At 39.0% G+C, this 15857-nt stretch overlaps 1 long non-coding RNA gene across 1 annotated transcript in view, besides 1 other annotated feature; it reads right to left on the reverse strand.

Annotated features, from left to right (window-relative positions):
* Positions 1-15857, reverse strand: part of LOC105378314 (uncharacterized) — a 147384-nt gene that overhangs the window by 105737 nt on the left and 25790 nt on the right. The window lies entirely within an intron of this gene.
* Positions 10786-11285: an enhancer, noted in NCBI's record as "H3K27ac hESC enhancer chr10:59576275-59576774 (GRCh37/hg19 assembly coordinates)". NCBI's record gives its function as "activates a minimal SCP1, AML or CMV promoter by ChIP-STARR-seq in primed H9 embryonic stem cells {active_cell/tissue: H9 hESC(primed)}" and the evidence as "EXISTENCE:reporter gene assay evidence [ECO:0000049][PMID:30033119]".

Here is a 15857-nt window from a genome sequence, read left to right on the forward strand (position 1 = left end):
TGAAGGATTCACTATTCATAAAGGGTCTACCTCCATCTCCCAAACACTTCCCATTAAGCCCCACCTGCAACATTGGGAATCAAACATCAACATGAGATTTGGAGGGGTCAAACAAACCAAAGTATAGCACATAATGTATTAAAAGTGTCTGTTTTTCTAAAAGGAAAAAGCTTCAGCAATCTCAAGGCCATCCTTCCTCTTGGCAATACACATGTATTTTTAAGTGGCATTATGAAGATATTATTATTTGTACTGAAAAGCCCACAGCAGATATTTTAGGGATAGCTCAGAATTTTAACCCAAACAGGGAAAGTGTATGGGTGTTTTTTTTAAAGGCTTGTGGATTAGATACTAGGAGAAAACAAAGCCTCGGGCATCCTTTAAACAGCATAAGGTAGAACCTTCCTAAACTGCCTGTAACTAGACTTGAATGATAAAACAATGTCTCTGAAAAAAATTGAGTCAGACTAAAAATTAATCAGGTAAATCAGACTTTAGGAGATAAAGAATTGTATTGATAGACAAAAAAGCAGTAGAAAAGGTGAAATTATCTTTTGTTTCATTAAAGACAGTGCTCATGTCTTTTTACCAGGTGGGTATCAAAAACAAATGAAATATCATGGCTTCAAATATATGTTTCTTCACTGCACGATTAACCTAAACCTCAAGGTTGAAACTTCCAGCAAGGTTTTCTTTTGGAAACTCATAACTATTTCAAACATTAGATATTAAAAATTTAAAACTAACCATAACTCTTTACCCAGATCAATAAAATAACAGTTGACTTCAATTAACCTCTTTCCAGTCTTTTCACCCTAGTCATGTTCTTTGAAGAACATTGATAGTTGGCTTTGCAGAAACAGAACAGTCCTGTCTTTTCAGATATGCTTTCTTTCCCAGTTATTTTTAAATGGGAAGATAATTGCTGCGATAGTTTAGAACTAAAGGTACACTTGAAATTAAAAAAAAAAGGCAGTTGCTAAGAATCAATTAAGTTTACTCTCTCTAGCTATGCAATAAGCCAGAAATTAATGGGTGAGGTTAAGCCAAGGATAAAAAAGCAGAAGTCAAGACTTCACAAGGATGCCTTTCCTGGGATTGTCAGCCATCGGTAGGTAGTGCTAGTTGTTGGCCGGCCCCTTCCTCCTACACTCTGTTAATTGTTTACATTAACTCCACCCCACTACTGCCCATTTCCAGCTACCAGTATACTTGTTTTCTATGCCTGCTTCCCCTTTAATAATTCAATACTGTCCCCATCTAAGGGGCTCTCTCTTCATATGATATTTCTGTCATCAGCTCTAAAGCTCATGCTACAATTGAAATTAAATCTCTAATCAAGTTATTTATTTAAATTCCCCTCTAACTTTTCCAAAATAATAAAGGCCACTACTCCTGTTCAAGCAGCAGGCTTTAATTTCATTTTAATTACCTTCAGAGCCTTTCATTCAGGGAAACTTTCACTTGGTTATCACATAATTCATTCTCTTGCTGCATTAATTGATAGATCCTAATTATTTATTTTGCTCAGTAGCCTGTTAACTTTCAAAGCTATTTTTAGTCTCTGCTATTTTGGATTCACTTGAAATTTCTTCAGGGATTGAGGAAAATATTTCTATTGTACAATGTGCATATTCAACCATTTCTTCTAAAGTCAGCTCCCTTCTCCTTCAATCCTTCTTTTCTTCATCCTCCCTCACACACCTCTTAAGTTTGGGGTAACATTATGTATTCAATGTTTTCTTAGGAAGGAAGACAAAATGTTCATGTATCAATGTCTGCAATAGAGAGAAATAGATCAAGGTCTGTAATCCCAGAACTTTGGGAGGAAAAGGTGGGAGGACTGCTTGAGCTCAGGAGTTCCAGACCAGCCTGGGCAACATAGTGAGACTCCATCTCTAAAAATACTGTAAAAAAGTAAAAACAGACTTTGCATCTAAAAGCCTCCTGTTTTTCGAATGATGACTTCAGTGAATAGTGAAAATGAAAACTAAAATAAGGCAAATAATCTGATGCCCAAAGCACAGATGCTATTTCAAAATCTATAGAGAAATAAATTTTATCAGTAACTACAAGTTATAAAAGTACATGTAATTTTGTTCCATATTAGAAGCCTTGAAATTACTTTCAAATTGTTATGAGAAAGAAATATTCTATAATCTTTTAAAGATGATTTAAATACATTTTTATAAATATATCATTTTATTTTTTCCTTTATACCTTTAAATAAAAACTGTGTGTGTGTGTCTGTCTGTTCATAGCTATCACATAATATTGCAATTTTGAAATGGGAGAGTTCCTTGACCCCCTTGCAGGATTTGTGACAGGGGTGTGGCTCACTTGCTCAGACACTGTGTGCTTAAATCCCTTTTGGGAGGCGGAGCTTGCAGACGGATAGGTGCAGCAGCCTGGGTGAGTGCTTTTGGGATCCAGCTCATGTTAACATCTCGGGGTGTGTTACAATTAATGCTCTTTTAGCAGTTGCTGTTCGCAGACAGCTAAGTGTTAAACCAGCTCAGTGGAGGGTCAGGGTAATAGCCTTTTGCACCCTGCCCTCTTGGTACCGAGGTCCAGGAGGAATCAGGTCACACACATACTTGAAGTATGGTGAATGTAGGGATTTTATCGAGTGTTGGAGGTGGCTCTTAGTGGAATGGATGGGGAGCTGGAAAGGGGATGGAGTGGGAAGATGATCTTCCCCTGGAGCTTGGCCATCCCACAGCCAATCTCCTCTCCAACAGTCCCCAGCCAAACTCCTCTTGACATTTAGGCACTCCTCTTCTCTCCTTCTCTGCTGTGTTGCTCTGCCACTCTGCTGCTCTTCTGCTCCTTGCTCATCTGCTTGTGGAGCCTGGGGTTTGGGGTTTATATGGGGGCAGGATAGGGGAACATAGTGGGCCAAAAGGCAACATTTGAGTGCAAAAACAGGAATGCCTGTTCTCACTTAGGATCTTGGCTTCCAGGCTTGAGGGTGGGGCCTTTGCCAAAGAACCACCATCTTCTACCCAGTATTTCCCTGCCTCCCATCCATATATATTTCTTGTATTACATGTGTAATGTGTGTGACATGAACTAAGGGCTTGCATTTGCTTGTGAACTTCATCTTCCTCTTCCACAGCAAATGTGCAATGGATGTTTGCTCTTATTACCTCCTCATTCTACTTTTCAGTTTCCCAGTGATCCCCCCGTGTCATGGTGGCTACCCACCCCTCAACACCACTCAGATAAGAGGAATAATAATAATTGTTTATATAGAACACATCTTGTGTCAGACACTCTCCTACATATTCTTTAATCCTCACAACCATCTTATGAAATCGGCACTATTATCATCCCCATTATCCCCATTTTGCAGATAAAGGAAGAAGCCACAGAGTGGCTAAGTAAGCTGCCCAAAGTAATACAACAGCAGGCTGCAGAAGTAGAACTTGAATCCAGGTGTCTGGGTCTCTGAGCCTGCTCTCTGTAACCATTACACTGTCCCTGTTACCTGTACATTCACTTTAGCTATGACCGGCAGTTTTCGATTTTGCTTGTATTTATTTTCATTTTTAAAAATTTCCAGACAATTCAAATCCCGATCCTCTGAAAAGATTTCCGCAGTCAAATGAATGCATGAAGTACAAAGTGTAATTTTATAACAATGTTTCTGAGATGTTTTTCTTCCTAAATTTAATACTTGATTTCTTTTATTTCCTTTCAAATGAAAACTTAGTTATATTGTAAACTGACATGGAAGATTCTTTAAATTACATTATTCTTAAATGCAGGTAGTATAATACAACTATGTCATGTAATATATTGTGCAGCTATAGCTTTTCTGACACCTGTCCTTCTATTTTCAAAATTCATCAGAAAGGATTTGGTTTTAAAAAATCATAAGTTCCCATAAGCTTTCTGGCAAAAATAATGATTAAGAACTTAATAAGGAAACATGACATGAGACCTTTACCAGGTCAATGGTGTATATTTGATTTGAACTTTATTTTCTGAAGCATGTATCAAGAAGACTTTTAGAGTATTTTTAATTCAAAAATTAATTAAAAATCATGTACTTTAAACATAATTTCTTAGGGCACTACAATACCTTAACAAATGTTAAATAACAAAAAATAACCATTCTCTCTATTTCCATTAGAAACTCACTCTCTCACTTCTTATGTAATCTACATCTTATACCAGTTACACCTTAAAGCTAATAGGAGAGAATTCTGTTCATAGCTATCACGTTATACTCTAAGTTCTTTCATACTTAAAGTTTCCTTCACTATTCATGCTCCTGGACCAACTCATGATTTTTTAAGTATCGTAATGTGTTCCATCCCTCATTCAGTGTGTGCATGCAAAATAGTCATTTAACTTTTCTGTTTCTTTTATATGAGAATTTAACATTTACTTAACAAGAGTTTGAGGATTAAGTGATTTAAGTGTGTTTTGCATTCACTCCCTGGTATTAATTAGCATTCCATTATGTGTGTAAAATGAATAAATGTTTTCAGCATGTAGGATTACAATGATGTCAGTCATCCTATTGTTTTTGTCACTCTCCAAAACAAGTGTTATAAGAGTCATGGAAAAACAGGGAACTTTCCTTAATTCTTTAAGAGGACTTCTCATTGAACATCATCTTTTTATTTTCTTTATCTCCTCTTCTCTTTATCACTTCCTATGTCTTCTTTTTGTTGACTGTCATTTAATTCAGCCAAAAGAGCCATTAAAAAATTAAAAATTTGTAAAGCCTCTAAGAATCCAAAATAGACAACTTTTAGTTCATCAGGTTTCGGCTTCAAGATACTGAATGTATATAAAAGGATTTATGAATTAGAGCGACCTAAGCTCAGATGTTGTTTTGTCACTTAATAGCTTTTGACCTCAAGCAAGTTCATCCATTCTCTCAATCACTCACATATTAATTGAGAGCTTACTATGAATGAGGCATTGTTCTGAAAAATATAGCTGTTTACCTGACATATCCTATTCTCAATTTACATATGTTATTATCATTTTACTAATCTATTAAAATGGGACCATACAGAGTTCAGAATACAGGTTCCCTCTGAAATGACAGTGTTTCCTGGAATCACCCTGTGGAAGCTGAAATTAATGACAAATTCAATATAAAATTATAATTTACAGATACAATGTAGGAGTAATAACAAGCCCATTTTAAAAACAGTCCTCTACTTGTTTTGCTTCCTTTTTAATGAAAAATTACTTAAATAGCAATAATTCAAAGTTTCACAGCAAGACTGTTATCTAGGTCCAGGTAAGCCTAATGTTACTGTTAAAAGTATCTTATAGTTGATTTCACAGTAGGAGAATTTCTCCCAATGGTGAATATCACTATCAAAATACTCTGAAAAACTTTGTGATAAAATCATAGTAATGATTGGTGGAGCTATAAAAAAGAATAAGAAAAGTCTAAGGAGAGAGGGAGGACACGTATTTTCTGTCATCTCATGCATATTAGAATAGGTACAAAAAAGAAACGCAATTGTCATGGAATTCTTGGTAACTCGCTGCAGGCAGTCCTTGCCTTCAGAAGCCAATTTATAAAATTCCCAGTTGATGCAGTGGTGATTATTCAAACCATAAAAGCATTAACCTAGGGTCTCTTTACATAGCCAGCTTCCCTAGTGCATTTCAAATAAAGTTTGACTTACACCTGACTTTTCAGAGCAAGGGTATAAAAAGAAATAAACCTCCAGTTAACAGTGTCTACAATTCAGTTTGGAAAAGAGATTCATGTTTTCACATACACTCAGGGAGAAGCTTATTATTGGTCAGCCACAGACACATTGACCTTGAAAGGGCTATCACAGAATTCCATTCATGTTCTGTCTGCTTATGATAGGGGAATTAAAAAAGACATAATAGGTGTAACGGGGTAACACATGGCCTCATCTTTAGTGCTTTACACTTGATGGGTGGCCAAAGTTCTAGAGAGAAGCACCCCCTTCCCTTTTTTTGTGCAAGACTAGATGGGAGGTTCCCTGGTGGGTCAGTTATGAAACTTCTGATCTATTCAGAAGAGAAAATTTAAAAACCAAGCATATCAACTCAATTAGTATAAAAGAGCCAAGTGAGAATCATAGCAAACCAGCCTAATCTCATACATAGAAATATGTTCAAAGAAACTTAGTATCTAAAAACCGAATCTAGGGCAAAGAGCTCATTTCATGTTTGTAATTTTAAAAGAATTCATCTGACATTATAATAACACTAGTAGTTTAAGAGACAAGATTGCCCTAGGACAGGGTAATCTTGTCCTGTACAATGCCTTTGGCAGTGCACATAGAATTACAGAAAAACATGTGAGATGAAAGTAGATAGGTGCACACCTGGGTATGCTGATTGCCAGGTTGAAGTTTATACATATACAATGTGAAATATGGGATGGCCCAAAAACATTCTCAAATTTTCATGGTCAAGGAGAGGTATTTTGAGTTCCACAGAGGATACAGTTTTCTCTGGTGACTACCACTAGATTATCATTTAAATGACCACTTCAGAGAAGCAATGGTTCAAGTCATTAATAACCATTTAGCATAATTCCTTACATCAATTTTGATTCACTTGAATTGATTTACTTCAATTTACTTTCCTTTAGAAAGCAGTTTTATTCAAAAATTGAGAAAAATATCCACATGCCTTGACATGTTGGATATTTCCAGTAGAAAATTATTTGTTGAAACATTCAGAAGATAAAAATCTATTCTGGAATGAATCACTAAGAGTAGCTTGCAAGCATTTTGTCCTAGATCTTATAGGGATCATAATGTAATACAAGATGTGGGAACCCATAATGAAACTAGGGGATAAATTAAATTGAAAGAAGTAAACAATAATCCAGCCCATACTCCCTAAATCATCAGCAGCTCATCTTAGAAATGTTTTGCAGACTAGATGTGGAATGGGTCATCGGAGGGAAAACAGATCAATCTTCCCCTGTGATTTGGAGCCATTACATAGGTATTACTGGTAGAGTTATTAATATTTTTGAGTCTTAAGAAATATGGTAGAAAAATGTCTACCCCAGATTGGAGAAAATCCTTGAATACAAATGTTGTATCATGTAGAGTAAATAATGCTAACTGCTATAACATACATACAAACACACACACAAAAGCTGATTCCAATGAATTAGCAAAATAGTTTTGTCACTCATACCCCTTAGGTAAATTCTGATACAAGCAAGTTTTCCTCCTCTATCTTGTAGTTATGCCATTTACAACATGCAGCCTCCAAGTACATCATATAGGGAAAGAGAGAAAAGGAGGAGACACAACAGCTCACAACTTTCTTAACCTGGAAGTAACACGTCACTTTGTTCCTAGACCATTGGCCAAAACTAGCCATTCGACCCCATAGGTAGCGGGGGATAAATGTCATGGAAGTATATGAGTACCTGGGAAGCAAATGTTCTCACCACAAGATGGGATTAAAAATAAACTAGTTTCTTGTTCTGTGAGAAGTAACAGGACACGAACAGGAAAAGCAAGTTTGAGTCAAATTGTGTAGATCTTTAATAACAAGCCAAGGATTTATCTTGTAAGTAACTAAAAGTAATTAAAGATTATGATAGTCCAGAAGGAATAATAAATGAAGAGAGTATGACTAGGGGAAAGTCTCATGTCAGGCTACAAAAAATGGGGAAAAAAATTCAGTGATACAAATAATTTCCTCTACTTTGTTTCTTTAAGACTGGGTTTATATGTTTACTTTATTCCCTCTAGCCTTTCACAACAAACGTGTGTGTGTGTGTGTGTGTGTGTGTGTGTGTGTGGTGTAGTATCAATAAATATATATTGAGAGCATAATACATGCCAGGCAGTGTTAGCTACTTGGGATGCACAAGTGAGTAAAAGAGACAAAAAATACTGTCCTGTGGCAGTGGGAAATTTTCTGATTTTTTTCTATCCCTAACCAATGAAATGACCAAGATATTATACTCCTATAAGCATGCTTCTGTAAGGAGCAATTTACCTGAAGTTTCTCTAATTCGCATTAAATAACCTTCTCCGTAGAGACAGTGCATATATTTTGGGGTTTGGTGTTTTTTGTTTGTTTTTTACTTTTATTTTAGGTTCAGGGGTACACGTGCAGGTTTGTTACATGGGTAAATTGCATGTTGCTGAGGTTTGATGTGCAAATAATCCCTACGCCCAGGTAATAAACATAATACATAATAGTTTTTCAACACTTGCCCCTCCTACTCTCACCCACCTTCCACCTTCCCCACTCTAGTAGTCCCCAGGGCCTATTGTTCCCATCCTTGTGGCTATGTGTATTCAATGTTTAGCTCCCACTAATAAGTGAAAACATGCATTATTATTTTCTGTTCCTGTATTAGTTTGCTTAGGATAATGGCCTCCAGTTGCATCCATTTTGCTGCAAAGGACATTATTTTATTCCTTTTTATGGCTGCATAGTATTCTATGATGTGTATGTACCACATTTTCTTTATCCAGTCCACTGTTGATGGGCATCTAGGTTGATTTCATGTCTTTGCTATTGTAAATAGTGTTGCAATGAATACAAAACATACAAGTATTTTTGAAACAAATATTATTTGAAACAAAAATTATTGAGCAAAAACTAACAATAAGTTGAAACAAAGATTATTGAAGAAAGGTTCTTTCAAACAAATACTACTGAGCTGGTGAAAAAAAATAGACTACTTTTCCCCTAAAATCTTGATCTAAAATATTAAGATTAGAAAAAATCCATCTGATAAAGACCATAGAAACAAAGCTGTTTCTCAAAATTAGGTTAATTTTCTTGCTGCAACAAGGGAGGGCACTTCAAGGCAACTGTGTAATGTCTCTCATCAAACAAAAGAAGAAACAGCTACTTTAAAATTTGGGGGAAGGGTGGAGTTTAAGTAAAATTTAAATGACACAAAGTTTTGATAGGCTCAAAGAAAGGACTTGTTATAAATAGGTTTATATAATGTCTGGACTGCAAAGTGGAATGATGTTTCTGAAAATTACAAAGACAAAATACATTTGGAAAATTCTGTTCATAACCCTTTATCTAAATCTCTGAACATGGGTTAACAATTCAGGTTGTTTCGATGTGACTCAAATCCCCTATGCAAAGTCGGCTATTCCTTTCTTACTGACATGGTTTTTAAATAGCAAAGTTTCTGACAGTCTATGATTTTATATAACAAAATAATCTATCAGCACTATGTTCTTTAGTTAATCAGTTTTGTAGGTTAACAGGTTAATCAGTCTTTGCAGGTTTCTCAGCCCCACTTTCCTGAGGCCTACATAGAATTACCTGCAAAGAGGCAATGGGGAATTATAATCTCTCCCCTCTCCTTTACCCAATATCTTAAATATTTATTGAACACTTACTATAAACTATTTGTATGCTACACAAAAGAAAAAGAAAAAAACTCAAAACAAATAAAAATGGCCCCTGCCTTAAGGGAGCATCCCTTGCTTCACATGAAAATGATAAATGAATCACACTGGAGAATACCCTTTAGATGGGATGATTTCTCTAAGTATTTGTATCTTTTTTTTTTTTTGAGGAGGAGTCTTGCTCTGTTGCCCAGGCTAGAGTGTAGTGGTGCAATCACGGCTCACTTTAGCCTCCACCTTCCAGGTTCAAGCAATTCTCCTGCCTCAACCTTCCAAGTAGCTGGAATTACAGTTGCACACCACCAAACCTGGCTGACTTTTATGTTTTTAGTAGAGATGGGGTTTCACCATGTTGGCCAAGCTGGTCTTGAACTCCTGGCCTGAAGTGATCCACCCACCTTGGCCTCCCAAAGTGCTGGAATTACAGGCGTGAGCCACTGAGCCTCCTGGACAGATTTTTTATCTTTTGTCCATCTGACTGACATATTTCTGTATGTATATACATATTCTGTATGTATATAAAAGATGAAATGAATAATTTGCCAATGTTGCTATAAGCAAGGATTCAACCAGAAAAAAAACAGCTTCAAACTGGTCTGTCGGCCCAGTCATAGTGATACTGAAGATATTAGGCTGATGCAAAAGTAATTGCGGTTTTTGTCATTGAAGGTAATGCAAAAACCATGATTACTTTTGCACCAACCTAGTACATAGGAACTTTCCAGCCTGAGCATTGAGGGAAAGGGAGTTGTTTCTCATCCTTCTTCTAATTAGAAGGACATTCCCATTTGCTTTGATTTATCTAATTACTAATCATCCTTCGAATTTCCTATATAGTCCTATCTCCTCTGCTGATCCTTCCCTGATTACCAAAGGCCACATTGATTTCTCTTGTCTGTGAGTTGCTTTTGTAGTTGGAATCAATATCAACCAGCCTAAACTCATTGTTCTCTATTGGCTCATTACAAATGTTCTAAGGAAAGCAGGTTTACTGGTGTATTTCCTTGTGAATATGATATTGTATGAGTCATGAGCAATACATAAAGTAGACAGCTATAATTCATTGTCAGGTTCCAGCCCAAGCTGAGGTCTGAGGGGAGTCAGTGGACAGGAGGCAAGTAGTTGAAACACTTGTTGGGGCTGGTGTAGGCAGGGCGTACATTATTATGCACCTCTCTCTCTCCGTCAGCCTTTGTCTCAGCCGCCTGCTCTGGCTGCAGCCCCTCTCAGCAGCCACCTCCGTGGTTGCTGCCACCCCAACACCTGCTGCTGTACTTTCCAATATGCTCACCACTTCTTGGCTCGGATGGCCCGGAGAACCACTGAGGGGCCCTAGGCAGGTGAAACATGGCTTTGCTATGTGCCTCTCTCCCCATCTGACTCTGCTGGCAAAGGCACGCTCCTTCTTGGTGCTGTGCACTTCCAGGTGCTTCAGCACCTTCTCCATGCTCATGGTGGACCCATCCACTCCTGCTCATGTCTCCACCAGAGCCCATCTGAGCAGCACAGCTGCCACATGTTACCACAACCCATGTTGCGGCCACATGGCCGACCTGGAATCATTGGGGTCCGAAGGCTCACTCACCTCGGGATCCTGCCGACTATGCCAATCTTTGCACCTTGGCATTGGCCACTTGGGTCCCTGCTTATGCACTGTGTATCTCTCCCATACCTGAATACATTCTGGGGAGAGGATGTTTCACACAGCTTGGCAGCTGTCCTGTCTATCATGAATTTGATGGACCACTTGACAACAAAATTGGGACAGTACCACTATGTGGTGAACTTAGCTAACATGTTCTCTTCCAGAGAGCCAGGAACAGTTTGCCTTCATGGGAAGGGTGACAGTGAACTTTCACAGTGTTGCTGCAGGGCTATGTGCATAGCCCCACCATATGTAATGGCCTCGTTGTCATGGATTTAGCCACCTGGAGATGTCCAAAGGGAGTCTGCCTATTTCATCATGTTGATGATATTATGTTAACCTCTGATTCTCTTGTAGATTAGAAGCAGTGGCACCCCTCTTGCAATAACATTTGATAGCATGTGGTTGGGCCATCAATGAATCCAGGGTCCAAGGTCCTGAATTGTCTGCCAAATTCCTAAGAGTCGTATCCCCAGTCCACCATAGTGAGGCAGCTGTAGACCTCTGTCAGCCTCCCAGGATATTGGCGGGCATTTGTGCCCCATTTGGCTCAGATGATAAAACCATTGTACTGGTTGACAAAAAAAAAAAAAAAAAAAAAAAGCAGGCTACCTGAGATTGGGATAATGAGGCTGAGACAGCTTTTCTGGCAGCTAAGTGGGCTATTCAGCAAGCACAGACCCTATAAGTGATTAAGCTGGGGCACCCATTTGAACTTAACATGCATGTAACCACAGATGGTCTATGGCAGTACATGGAGCACTTTAGAATGCCAGTAGGCTTTTGGGCCCAACTTTGAAAGGGAGCTGAGCTCTGGTATTCACTGATAGAGAAGCAGTTAGCAGCTGCATATTCCACCCTTCAGGCTCATAAGAGGGTAACGGGATGGGCTACAGTCATCATGCAGACAACTTACCCAATAGCAGGATGGGTATGTTCACGAGTAATGACCCCCTAGACTGGGACAGCACAGACATCCACTTCATCAAAGTGGAGTGCCTACTTAGAACAGCAAATTATGCTGTTTACAAGCCCCTTAGCAGCAGAATTACAAGAAGTCTTGGGACCTGTAGTCCTAATGCAAGATAAGGCCATGGGGCCTGAAGCACCCCTAGACCTGAGCCATCACCATTTAAAAAGGGGCAACTCCCAATTCCTGATGAGTCATGGTATATGGATGGGTCTAGCTGGGGTGCTACTGCTGCCTGGACTGCTGTCATCGTCCAGCCTAGTACTGACACCATATGGTTTGATACTGGGTGTGGACAAAGTAGTCAATGGGTTGAACCCAGAGCAGTATAAATGGTGATCACCAAGGAAGTGACACCTATAGTAATCTGCACTGATAGCTGGGCAGTTTATCAAGGCTTAACTTCGTAGTTAACTACCTAGAAGCTGCAGAATTGTCTAGTTGGTCACTGGCCCATGTGGAGCCAAGCTATGTGGTAAGACCTATGAGAAGAAGGATGACCTCCTCCAACCAGGCAAGGGGACTAACAGTAACCTGTTGTCGCCTGCCCCCTAGCTGACCCATAGCATCCATGATGGATGGGTCTAGTTAGTAAGAGAGCACATAGTACCCCCACCACATGCACCACGATATCAAGCCTGTGTATCAGACCTGTGTGCCCAGAGCCTATGTGTCAGCCTGGGTATTGGGCCCGAGAGCCCAGAACCTATGTGTCAAGCCTGTGTGTTGGACCTGTGTGCCCAAAACCTATGTATCAGGACTATATGTCAGACCTGTATGTCCAAGGCCTATGTCTCCCTGAGCCTAGGGCATGGAGTGTAAGGAAAATGGATGTGCTTCAGTAAAGAATAGGCCAAGGTAAACATCCAGTGTAGCATAACACAGCAAGTCTGGACTGCAGGCACACAATTCTGTGCATTATGTAACCTGTTTGTGTAAGCTCATACCTAGCTCTGAGCCACTATTGTCTGTGAGTAATATAACTTCATTGGTGACTCTGTAAAGGGGAGCCAGCCATCTTGCAGGCAGACAGAGAGAAAGCCAGCCAACTTGCAGGGGGATGGGGGGAGCCAGAAAGCAGCAAGCGTGCCAGGGCATGCAGCTGCAGGTGTGGGGTGGCAGGAGCCACAGAGCCAGCTGCTGAGAGGGGCTGTGGCCACAGCAGGCAGCCAATACAAAAGCTAACAGAGAGAGGCTCATAATAATGCCATGTTTCACCTGCCTACAGCCCCGAGTGTTCTTTCAACTATCTGCCACCCATCCACCTATTCCCAGCCAACCTCAGCTTGGTCTTGAACCTGACATTGGTGTTCAGCTTTATATCCCAAGAAATTAGCTGAGGGTATTTCACTAAAAGTCTGTTGAATGGACTGATAGGCAGATAGATGTAATTCATTACATTGTTTGTGATAAATGACTTTGTGCCCCTTTTATCAGGTTATATTTTTTAAAGTGGCAATAAATTGTAGTTTACGTATTTGCAATCATTTCAAAGTCACTGATCCAAATGGAATACTGGGCTGGGCGCAGTGGCTCATGCCTGTAATCCCAACACTTTGGGAGGCCGAGGTGGGTGGATCACCTGAGGTCAGGAGTTGAAGACCAGCCTGGCCAACATGGTGAAACCCTGTCTCTACTAAAAATACAAAATTAGCTGGGCATGTTGGCTCATGCCTGTAATCCCAGCTACTCGGGAGGCTGAGACAGGAGAATCACTTGAATCTGGAAGGTGGAGGTTGCAGTGAGCTGAGATCATGCCATTGCACTCCAGCCTAGGTGACAAGGGTGAAACTCTGTCTCAAATAAATAAATAAAGAAAGAAATAAAGAAATAAATAAATAAAAATCTGGATTCCTGACATTTGAGGGGAAACCTAAATTCCATTCTTTACTCAAGAAGCATAATGAATGGTTTCCTTGAAAAAAAATATGTAGCTAATGGGCATATTTGAGAAGGAGAAATACATATATTGGAATAACAAAGCAAAATAGCAAAATTGGAATAACTCAAGCCTTAGAAAATTGTAGGAAGATTTTTTACTTCTTACAAAAGATTAACCAATTTAGCCTAATTTCTTTAGGTTGACATAGTGAAATATAAGTTAGGAGATCAACTGAAGAAGGAGGAGTGGTGGGGTAAAGGACAATAATGACATGGTGGTGGTGTTTATAGTTGGGACAGTAAATGCAAAAGAAAGTTAATAGACATAATAAACAGCTTTCTGGTGCTGAACCTTAGATTTGGCTATTAAAACTTAGCTTTCAGATGACAAGTTAATCATGATAATTAATAGTAAGAACAATCATTTTTAATGGCGGGATCTATTTTTTCAGTTTTGGATGTCATGGGTCTATAATATGTAAGGGCTGACTGACGGAAATAATAGTTCTACCTAATTCTCTTGATTGCCATTTTGCCTTGAGATTAACATGAGCCTCATAGACTTGCTGAAAAGACATTGCTCAAAAGAGGTTGTGTTTCACCCTTGGGAAAACACATTCAGAGTTAATACCCTGAATGACCTGAAGAAAAAAGAACCTACCAGTGTCCTTAAGTCTGGGTCAATAGAAACCAAAATAAGCGAATTCCTATCAGACTCGTCAACTCCATAAATGATACACGTTGTATGACTTGAGGTCAAAGATGGATAATATCCTCAATGCAGAATAACATCCTGACCCTTTCCTTCCTTTCCACCATCTCCTCTTGCTGCTCTCCCCTTTCCTTCTCTACTTTTAGTCCCTAGTGGTTTAACAGTTATTTATTCCATGAGGCTGAGCCATAATGTGGTTCTTTTCCTTTGAATCCAAGGATACCCACAAATTAAAAAGTTAATAACTTCCAAGGATTCCAGAGGCACTGCTTTAAAACTCTGCTATCGTTCCTATCTCATTTTTTAAATTAGTTGCATGTGTCCTTCCTTCTAGTCTTCTTAAGAGCAAGTGTTTGTATGTCTCACTCACTTGGATATCATTCATGATACCTTTCAAAGTACCCTATATGGAGTAAGAGCTGAATAGATGCCTACTGGTTTTAATTAAATAATGCCAGAAAATTATAGAATTTCCAAAGTCAGCAGATAACTCTTTTTTCCTACTTTCCCATCAAATATTCACATGGCTTAGAGGTCACCTGAAAACACCAAATTGCATCCCTGAAACTCTCTAATCCAAGGAACTGACTTCTAGTCATTCATTTTCTAGGACCTCTTTTTCTGCAACCAATGTGTCTGAAATCTATCATGCTCCTATTAAAATGTAAAGTCTCAAGGGAAAAGATATTGAAACTAAAGAAAGAGACTCTTTTTATACTGTGGACAGAGGAGACCATGAGGGAGCCCAATCTCAAGGCCTGCAGCTTTTGGGAGGGCAGCTGAAGGGAGACAGAGATCACATCAGAAGCCAGAGCATTCTCATCTAATGTGGGGCTGGAAAACAGAGCCAGATGTCCTGAACAATGAAAAGAGATGAAAATCAGAAACCAACAAGGAGTCCCAACTGAAAACCTATAGCAAATTCCCTGAAGGTTCCCAGCCAGAGAGGATGAAGCAAAATCCCCTGGGGAGTTTCTTCAAATCAAATTATAAGTCCCTCCAAACACCTAACGGCATTATCAGGGGAGGAAAATCTACGGAGTATATTTTGAAAAAGTTCTCTTAAAGTTTGAAAGCAAGAATGACCACATTTTCTCTACCCCATTCTGTATCTACACAATTTTCCCAGGTAAGGATTACTAGAATAGACAAGAAGAATAACACGAATATGAGACAATGTATCATAGTGAGTAAGTACTAATTTCTAGTCAGGGGTGTCCAATTTTTTTGCTTCCTTGGGCCACAGCAGAAGAATTGTCTTGGGCCACACATAAAATA

Source organism: Homo sapiens, chromosome 10 (assembly GCF_000001405.40).
Source record: "Homo sapiens chromosome 10, GRCh38.p14 Primary Assembly".
NCBI lineage: Eukaryota > Metazoa > Chordata > Mammalia > Primates > Hominidae > Homo > Homo sapiens.